The sequence below is a fragment of the Homo sapiens genome, chromosome 16, assembly GCF_000001405.40.
Source record: "Homo sapiens chromosome 16, GRCh38.p14 Primary Assembly".
Classification (NCBI taxonomy): domain Eukaryota; kingdom Metazoa; phylum Chordata; class Mammalia; order Primates; family Hominidae; genus Homo; species Homo sapiens.
This window is the reverse complement of record NC_000016.10, coordinates 22,374,833-22,384,866: the sequence shown is the minus strand read 5'-3', so window position 1 is coordinate 22,384,866 and position 10,034 is coordinate 22,374,833. Positions and strand designations below refer to the sequence as shown.

Here is a 10,034-nt window from a genome sequence, read left to right as displayed (position 1 = left end):
GGGATTACAGGCATAAGCCACTGCGCCCGGCTTGCATTCACTTTGTATTCAGGCATTGTATAAGTGTTTATGTGCATTATTTTATCAAATCCTTAAAAACCCTAGCCGAGCACAGTGGCTCATGTCTGTAATCCCAGCACTTTGGGAGGCCAAGGCAGGAGAATTGCTTGAGCCCAGGAGTTCAAGACCAGGCTGGGCAACATAGCGAGACCCTATCTCTAAAATTAAAAAAAAAAAATTCTCTTTTTTTGAGACAGAGTCTTGCTCTGTTGCCCAGGCTGGAGTGCAGTGGAGCAATCTTGGCTCACTGCGGCCTCTGCCTCCAGAGTTCCAGTGATTCTCCTGCCTCAGCCTCCTGGGTAGCTGGGATTACAAGCGCATGCCACCACGCCTGGCTAATTTTTGTATTAGAGTAGAGACGGGGTTTCACCATGTTGGCCAGGCTGGTCTCCAAATCCTGACCTCAGGTGATCCACCCACCTCAGCCTCCCAAAGTTCTGGGATTACAGGCGTGAGGCACCACGCCCGGCCAAAAAATTTTTTTTATTTAATTAGCTGGGCATGGTGGTGTGCACCTGTAGTCCCAGCTACTTGGAGACTGAGGTAAGAGGACTGCTTGAGCCTAGGAGGTCGAGGTGCAGTGAACCGTGATCATACCGCTGCACTGCAGTCTGGGTGACAGAGCAAGACTCCCATCACAAACAAACACACAAACAAAAAACAATCCTTTGAGGCAAGTATTACTCTGACTTTACAAATGAGAAAACTGAGAGCCAGAGAAGTTAAGCAACTTGCCTAGCTAATAAACAACAGAGCCAGGGTCTAACCCAAGGTAGACGACCCCATAGCATGTGCTTTCAATCTTGTGCTAGACTGCCTTCCAACAACAGCACACAGGGCCATGCCTCTGCAAAGGTTGATGGCCTGTTTACACCAAGGCATAGTTTTACATAATTTCATTAGGAAAGGTTAAAATATCAATGTTTGGCATTTCAAATTAAATCTAATTAGTATGTTATTACTGGTAATAAATGAGTAACATTATAAAATATAAGGGTTTTAAAACCATGAACTCTTCCAGCCTGCCACCTAATTGGTAATGAGTTACAACACAATTTGTGAATACTGTGGGCCTTTTCAAAACAGAATATTTTAGGACTGGGCACAGTGGCTCATGCCTGTAATCCCAACAGTTTGGGAGGCTGAGGCAGGAGGATTGCTTGAGCCCAGGAGTTCGAGACCAGCCTGGACAACATAGTGAGACCCCTATTTCTAAAAAAAAAAAAAAAAAAAAATAGCCAGGTGTGGTGGCTCACACCTGTCATCCTACTCAGGAAGCTGAGCCAGGAGGATTGCTTGATCCTAGGGAGGTCAAGCCTGCAGTGAGCTATGATTGCACCACTGCATACCAGCCTGGGCAACAGAGCAGTCTCAGAAAAAAAAAAAAAAAAAAGAGAGGGACAGAGACTGGATATCTTAGTAATAATACTGATTTTTCCATATAAATTAATTTTCCAGACAACCTAAGCTTATTCTTTAAATTCTAATGCCTTTACATTTTAACTAGCAATCTTTTAAAAATCTCTCTTTCCGGCTGGGCGCGATGGCTCACACCTGTAATCCCAGCACTTTGGGAGGCCAAAGTGGGTAGATCACCTGAAGTCATGGGTTTGAGACCAGCCTGGCCAACATGGCAAAACCCTGTCTCTATTAAAAATACAACAATTCGCCGGGCGTAGTGGCATGGGCCTGTAATCGCAGCTATTGGGGAGGCCGAGGCAGGCGAATCACTTGAATTGGGGAGGTGGAGGTTGCAGTGAACCGAGATTGTGCACTGCACTCCAGCCTGGGTGACAGAGCAAAACTCTGTCTCAAAAAATAAAATAAAAGGCCAGGCGCGGTGGCTCACGCCTGTAATCCCAGCACTTTGGGAGGCCGAGGCGGGTGGATCACGAGGTCAGGAGATTGAGACTATCCTGGCTAACACAGTGAAACCCTGTCTGTACTAAAAAATACAAAAAATTAGCCGGGTGTGGTGGCGGGTGCCTGTAGTCCCAGCTACTCGAGAGGCTGAGGCAGAAGGATGGCGTGAACCCAGGAGGCGGAGCTTGCAGTGAGCCGAGATCGTGCCACTGCACTCCAGCCTGGGCAACAGAGTGAGACTCCGTCTCAAAAAAAATAAATAAAAGAAAATAAAGTAAAATAAAAAATAAAAATCTCTCTTTCCCTCAAAGGAAGGAGATCTGTCCTATGTGAAAGGACAGTAAAGATTCCATCTCACCTGGGCTTGATAAAAGGCCACTTCTGAAATCTTGTACAGATGTAGAAAAAGTTTCACATAGTAGAAACCAAAGACAGAATTCAGCATTTCAGTCCCTAATGTCATCATAGAGTATGCCCAAGCAATGGGTTTGATATTTAAAAGTGTCATTTTCCATGCAGAGGAACTCTTCTTCCCTTTGTTTAAAAAAAAAAAAAAAGGTTAAAATTCACTGCACACAGTAGTGGATGGGGGGGCAAAACATGGCTGGCCAGTACTTATTTTAGCCAAATAAGAGTTCAAACCTACGAGCTGTGAGTATGTCACCAGATTTAACACCTTACTTCCTTATCTATTCACTCAATATTTTTTGAGATGCTCGCCAGGAAACCTAGTTTGCATAGAGTATGACTCCACTTATATTTTTGTCTATCTCTTCGAACTTATAAAGTGGGATTTCAGCCTGGCCAACAGGGCAAAACCTCATCTCCACAAAAATACAAAAATTACCTGGGTGTGGTGGCATGCACCTGTAGTCCCAGCTACTTGGGAGGCTGAGGCAGGAGAATTGCTTGAACGCCAGAAGCAGAGGTTGCAGTGAACTGAGATGGCACTACTACAGTCCAGCCTGGGCGACAGAGCAAGACTCCACCTCAAAAAAATATATAAAATAAAGTGGGATTCATCCAAGAGCTTGGACATGATTAACTAGTGTCAAGGAGATATGTTTATGCCATTATTATCCTCCTTACTTGGTAGGGTACAACAGAAACAGAACAACAAGGTGACAGCCTTTTGCTCAAGTCAAAAAGAAAATAAGTCCCTCATCTTAGTTTAAAGTTGTTCATTCAGTAGTACAGACTTGCATTTGAAGACTTATTCTTGATCTTCTGTAGCTTTGACAGCAAGGACATCACTACAATGGGTACAGAAATAACACATTCTGATCCTTGCTGAGATCCTTGTATGGGCCTATCTTAAATCTAGCCTATTGTCTGTCTTACCCTTTGATTTTTATAAGTAGAAAACAGGAAAAGGCTAACCAAGCAAGAGGAAGGCATAGATTCATCTTCCTTTCAATCTTGACTATAGTTTAAAGAGAATACCATGATCTTTCTGTTCTATTCTTGGCTTACTTGAATATTTAGCCAGGTCTCTGCATCTTATTCAGTCAGAAAACAGACACAGATTCAGATAACTCAAAGGATGTTACTTGCTTGAGTAATCCTTGGGCCTCGCTTTAACTTTGTAGATCCAGGAACAGAATTAAGCAGACAGTTCGGTCTACACTGCCAAATTTCTTAGGGAAAAAGAGGGCAAGTCAGAAGGAGGAAGTTGGCATTTGGCTCAAATGACCAAATTATTTAAGGTCTCTACACTTCACTTTGCACCAAGTAGACCCAAGAATGATTATAATTCAGCTACGTGTGGTGGTGCAGATCAGTAGTCCTAGCTATTCAGGAGGCTGAGGCGGGTGGATTGGTTGAGCCCAGGAGTTTGAGGCTGCAATGAGCTATGATCTCGCCACTGCGCTTTAGCCTGGGCAACAGAACAAGACCCTGTCTCAAATTAAAAAAAAAAAAAAAAGAAGACTCTAATTCTATGAGTGGCAGGGTCCTAGAATTATCAAAAATGGGTTATCAAACCCATATGCATACCAAGCATTGTCTATAGAATAAAGAATGTTTTGTCCACATGTGTACTTGTATTCTTAAAATGTTTGTAGCTTCTGCTATAATGATTAAAAATACAAATCTGATTGTTTTCATCATGATGCAGTTCCCAAACACTTCAAAACTACTATTGTGTGGAGGCCAGCCAACATTTTTTACTTTAAAAGCAATTCTCAGATTTCAAAATGCTGGGAACTACCAGTGAAGACTTCACTCTAAGGAGTTCATCCCTGAGAATGAAGACTGAGGCTAGAGGTTGCTTGGTTACTAAAAGAGTCAAAAACAAGGGAGACAGTAGAATCAAAAGCCAAGACACAAATTTAGCCTACCAAAACCTAGGGACTCTTGTTTCTTTTAGTTTTATTTCAGGCGTGCTAAAACAAGAAGCATGCTGCACCTTTCTAATCTGATCTATCACTAAGTTGCATGGCAGGTATTTGTAAACTTATAATTCTGCAAAAGGCCATAAGCTTTCTGAGAGTTGAATTCAATTTTTTTTTCAAAGATTTAAGTTAAGTACCCAGCCTGTCCGAAACATAAGAATATAAGGTTTCAATTGCATTATGAAAAACTCTACGGTCTGAACTTCGTGGCCAGGCACAGTGGCTCACGCCTGTAATCCCAGCACTTTGGGAGGCCGAGGTGGGCAGATCACTTGAGGTCAAGAGTTTGAGACCAGCCTGGCCAACATGGTGGAACCCCATCTCTACTAAAAATACAAAAATTAGCCGGGTGTGGTGGCAGGTGCCGGTAATCCCAGCTACTCAGGAGGCTGAGGCAGGAGAATGCTTGAAACTGAGAGGTGGAGGTTGCAATGAGCCAAGATCATGCCACTGCGCTCTAGCCTGGGCAACAGAGACACTGTTTCAAAAAAAAAAAAAAAAATTTAAAACATTAAAAATTTAAAAAAGTCTACATTCTGAACTTCTCTTTGTTTTTACATATTGCGTGAAGTAGAAATCTTTATTTCCTTCTGCAAAAGGAGCCATTAATATTTTCCTTTAGATTACTGTCATCCCAATTACAATGGCAGATACTATGAGATCCACCGTCACTGGGGCGGCAACGTCCTGGGTCCTAAGTCTGTGGCTCGTATCGCCAAGCTCGAAAGGGCAAAGGCTAAAGAACTTGCCACTAAACTGGGTTAAATGTACACTGTTAAGTTTTCTGTACATAAAAATAATTAAAATAATACAAATTTTCCTTAAAAATAGATTACTGTTATCATAGTAAATACTTATTTCTGTAAGTATCAAACTGAAAATCACCACTTACAATTTTTTTAAAGCCCCCATTGCTACCTAAAAACTCTCCTTACATGACTTTACTATAGCAATAAAACAAAAGAGAACAAGAGCATTTTATCTTTACAACCGAAGACAAAGGATTTCTGAATCTGATCTTATTTATCACAACATATTTTATAAAGAAAACTTATAAAGTTGGCCAGGCATGGTGACTCAGGCCTGCAATCCCAGCATTTTGGGAGGCCAAGACAGGCAGATTGTTTGAGCCCAGGAGTTCAAGACCAACCTGGGCAACATGGTGAAAACCTGTCTCAACAGAGAATACAAAAATTAGCCAGATGTGGTCGCACATGCCTGTAGTCCCAGCTACTAGGGAGGCTGAGGTAGGAGGATCACCTGAGCCCTGGGAGGTTGAAGCTTCAGTGAGCTGTGATAGCGCCACTGTACTCCAGCCTGGGTGACAGAGTGACATCTTGTCTCAAAAATAAACGAAGAAACAAACAAACAAAAAGAATTAAATAGTAGCAAAATGGTGCCATGGTTAGTTAGGCTGGGCAAGTTCATTAAATAATGGTGAATTATTATGAACACCATAAATTCTCCTTTTGGAATCAACTTGGGTGGTTATTTACTAACCTACTAAACCAAATAATATTAACGTCACTGAAGAGGTTACTTATGATTGCTTCTAAACCATGACTGAGTAGACTCTAAAAGAACAATGGAAACTTCACCAAATTTAGCACAGAAAACTGACACCAGTTTTTCAATGCAATTTTTGTTCAAGATTTTCCAGGGGAAAAGAAGTTTCCTTAAATAGTGTCCTTAAAAACAACCCAATAACACACCAAAAGACATAAAGTTTGTGGGTTTTTTTGCTTTTTTAAACTATCAATAACTTTATTTATTCACTTATTTATTTTTTTTGAGAGGAAGTCTCACTCTGTTGCCCAGGCTGGAGTGCGGTGGCATGATCTCGGCTCACTGCAACCTCTGCCTCCCGGGTTCAAGTGATTCTCCTGCCTTGGCCTCCCAAGTAGCTGGGATTCCAGGCATGCGCCACCATGCCCAGCTAATTTTTGTATTTTTAGTAGAGACGTGGTTTCACCATGTTGGCCAGGCTGGTCTCAAACTCCTGACCTCGTGATCTGCCCACCTAGGCCTCCCAAAGTGCTGAGATTACAGGCGTGAGCCACCACGCCTGACCCTCAAAAACTTTAATTCTCCATATCTTTCTTTTCTTTTCTTTTCTTTTTTAAAGGAGAATTGTTGACTGGGCGCGGTGGCTCACACCTGTAATCCTAGCACTTTGGGAGGCTGAGGCAGGCGGATCACTTGAGGCCAGGAGTTTGAGATCAGCCTGGCCAACATGGCTAAACCCTGACTCTACTTGAAACACAAAAACTAGCCGAATATGGTGGCACATGCCTGTAATTCCAGCTACTCAGGAGGCTGAGGCACGAGAATCACTTGAACCAGGGAGGTGGAGGTGACAGTGAGCAGAGATGGTGTCACTGCACTCCAGCCTGGGCCACATGGTGAGACTCTGAAAAAGAAAAAAAAAATGGAGAATTGTTAAAGAACATTTCAATATGCATTTGAAGTCAAAATGAGCTTCTGTTTTCGATGGAGCAAACAGCGGGCACTTTGAACCTTGCGAATCAGTGATAAGAATCGTGAAGGGGGCCGTGCACGGTGGCTCACACCTGTAATCCTAGCACTTTGGGAGGCTGAGGCTGGTGGATTGCCTGAGGTCAGGAGTTCAAGTCCAGCCTGGCCAACATGCTGAAACCCCATCTCTATTAAAAATTCAAAAATTAGCCAGGCGTGGTGGTGGGCGCCTTTAATCCCAGCTACTTGGGAGGCTGAGGCAGGAGAATCACTTGAACCCAGGAGGCGGAGGTTGCAGTGAGCCAAGATCACGCCATCGCACTCCAGCCTGGGTGACAAGCGTGAGACTCTCTCAAAAAAAAAAAAAAAAAAAATGCCCCTGCATGATTCTAGCCCTTTAGCTTCCACAAATCACCATTGCCAATTATTCCTAAATCCAACTTGCTATCTTTCCAAAGGGTTCTATCTTTAGTGATTAAGATAGTTTGTTTGAAGTGATCTTATTTCAACTCTGAATATCTCGATGGACAACTAGGGCAGTAGAAGAGGCTTTACAGGACCTCACTTTCTTTTCTTTCTTTCTTTTTTTTTTTTTTTTTTTGAGACAGAGTCTCACTCTATTGCCCAGGCTGGAGTACAGTGTCACGGTCTCGGATCACTGCAACCTCTGCCTCCAAGGTTCAAAGGATTCTTGTGTCTTGGCCTCCCATGTAGCTGGGATTACAGGCTTGCACCACCACTCCCGGCTAATTTTTGTATTTTTAGTAGAGATGGGCCACCTTATTGGCCAGGCTGGTCTTGAACTCCCAACCTCAGGTGATCTGCCTGCCTCAGCCTCCCAAAGAGCTGGGATTACGGCATGAGCCACTGTACACAGCCTTTTTTTTTTTTTTTTTTTTTTTTTTTTTTGAGACAGGGTCTTGCTCTGCTGTCACCTATCATAGCTCATCGTAACCTCAAACTCCTGGACTCAAGCAATTCTCTCACCTCAGCCCCCCAAGTAGCTGGGACTACAGGTGTGCCAGTAACATTTTGCCTTTTTGAAGAAAGGGATTTGTGAGTTTACCATTCCTCTTTTATTATTATTATTACTTTCTAACAGTGTTATTCCTTCTACATTTTTTGCTTGGCATCCTACTGTAAGAAAGTTTTCTTTTCTCTCCCATTTATTTATGTCAGTATGGACTCATGGATTCTTTCCTTTTTATTCAATGGGTTATAATCCATTACTATGATTATTTATTGTGATGCTCATAATTGGTCCTCAAGGGTACCTGCACTTCTACAGTATAGGTCACAAGAACACAGCCTTACATTTAAAATGAGCACAAAATACTTGCTTTCAGGGTCTCTCTGATTCAGATAGCTCTGTGAGCAAGGCAAACAATCATCTTTCCTGTAAACTGTTTGCTAAAAGGCTTCTCTGCTGGTACTGAGTATGGCGAGAACTCTAGGTTTTCTCACTCTAGGTCCCTTGTGCTTTCCACTCTATTCAGCAGTCTCCTTTAAGGACTGAAGGGTAAAACTTCAGGTAACAACTCCACAGTGGGAGGTCTTGTCCTTGGCAAGACTTCTCCAGAGTAGCCTACAGCCTATGTGTAAGGTAACCCTGGAGTCAAGTGCTGTTTGATACAGCATCAGCGTGAGGTTAGGTTATGCTGGTTTGAGCAAAGATGGGAGGCAGAGAGACACCCTGAATTTTATTACCCACAAGAATTATTCAGGATGAGTTTTTCCCCCCTTCCAAATTACCCAAGTCTTTTTTTATACAGAAAGACAAAAAAAGTAGCTTGAGTCTATAATTCCTTCCCTACAATTTCCCTTATTTTTAATGTGCAAGTAACTAAAAAAGCAAGATCACAGAAGGGTTTATAACAAAAAGCCAAAGTCCCCAGCCTCAAATCACTCCTCCTCTTAGGAAAACTTTTTTTTTTTGTTTGGTTTTTGAGACGCAGTTTTTGCCCAGGCTGGAGTGCAATGGCGCAATCTCGGCTCACTGCAACTTCCACCTCCCGGGTTTCAAGCAATTCTCCTGCCTCAGCCTTCCAAGTAGTTGGGATTACAGGCATGCGCCACCACGCCCAGCTAATTTTGTATTTTTAGTAGAGATGGGGTTTCTCCATGTTGGTCAGGCTGGCCTCGAACTCTCGACCTCAGGTGATCCGCCCGCCTCGGCCTCCCAAAATGCTGGGATTACAGGCGTGAGCCACCGTGTCCAGCCTCGGAAAACTCTTAATTGCTTCCCATTTTTAGTTCTGGCAGCTCTCTCCATATTTGTGGAAACTATTCATTGGATTATCAATGTAAGGTATTATCTGTCGACTCACTTCTAAAATAGATCAGGATTTAACACTCCTCTCCACCTCTTCCCTCTCTCTGAATTTCTAACAGTTTATTACCTCATGTTCTAGAGATAATCTTTCAATTGTATACTTAAACCTCGATTTTTTTTTGTTTCGTTGCTCAAAGTTAGTTAGATATTGGCCCTGTTGTCTTCCATCAGCTGCACCTTTACCTTTACGTCAAGGTTGAGAACATTGACCTTCAGGTCTGTCATCCTGCTTAAGAGTTTCCGTGCTTTGTCTGCAAGATGGTGCTTAAAGCTTTACCTAGGAGCAGTATTTGCTGGGTTATGTCGGTGGAGGACAGCGTGCTCTGCCTCGCTGGCTACTAAGTGCTGGAGCTGCAGCCTGTCCCCTCCAGGTGCAATGTCACGTCCCCAGATGCTTAACTTGTGGTCTAGGGGTACCTTTTAAAAATCGTTGCAACACTGCTTACAATTTTCGCCCTCCAAGTGGACAGCTTCGGGCATCCCTCACCGCCCCAGATTCTCAAGGGGGTCTGGTGCCCACCGTTTTATGTAGCGTGAGTTTAATTCCCAGGGCTCAGATGTCAAGGAGACAAGAGCTACCGCTCAGTGGGCGTTTTCTCAACCCAAACTCCCGATCGACCTCGAGTCTCCCCGCCGGACCCGGAGCAAATCTCAGAGTCAAGATGCGAGAAGGGGTGGCCGGGCGGCGGACCTCAGGCTTCCGGCACCCTTGCGCTTCCCGCCGGCACGAAGGACTCCCCTGGACAACCGCCCGCCTCTCAGAGGCCGGAGTCCTAGGCCCTCCGGCCTGCGTTGCCTGTCCACAGACGCGCCGGCCTCGGGACACCCACCACAGGGGTAAGACGCGCCTCTGCCAGCTCCCCAGCCCGAAACCCAGAACGCCCTCCTAGGAGCCTCACAGCGCAGATCAG

General features: G+C 43.9%; 1 long non-coding RNA gene across 1 annotated transcript, besides 2 other annotated features; it reads right to left on the bottom strand.

Annotated features, from left to right (window-relative positions):
- Nucleotides 1–6,686: 6,686 nt before the first annotated feature.
- On the bottom strand, nucleotides 6,687–9,980 carry CDR2-DT (CDR2 divergent transcript). The gene is made up of 3 exons (NR_148970.1): nucleotides 9,644–9,980; nucleotides 9,307–9,540; nucleotides 6,687–6,726 (listed from the first exon to the last, which is right to left on the bottom strand). It is a non-coding gene; the product is annotated as a CDR2 divergent transcript (long non-coding RNA).
- Nucleotides 9,476–9,525: an enhancer, noted in NCBI's record as "active region_10573". NCBI's record gives its function as "activates an Ori minimal core promoter by ATAC-STARR-seq in GM12878 lymphoblastoid cells {active_cell/tissue: GM12878}" and the evidence as "EXISTENCE:reporter gene assay evidence [ECO:0000049][PMID:35858748]".
- Nucleotides 9,866–9,945: an enhancer, noted in NCBI's record as "active region_10572". NCBI's record gives its function as "activates an Ori minimal core promoter by ATAC-STARR-seq in GM12878 lymphoblastoid cells {active_cell/tissue: GM12878}" and the evidence as "EXISTENCE:reporter gene assay evidence [ECO:0000049][PMID:35858748]".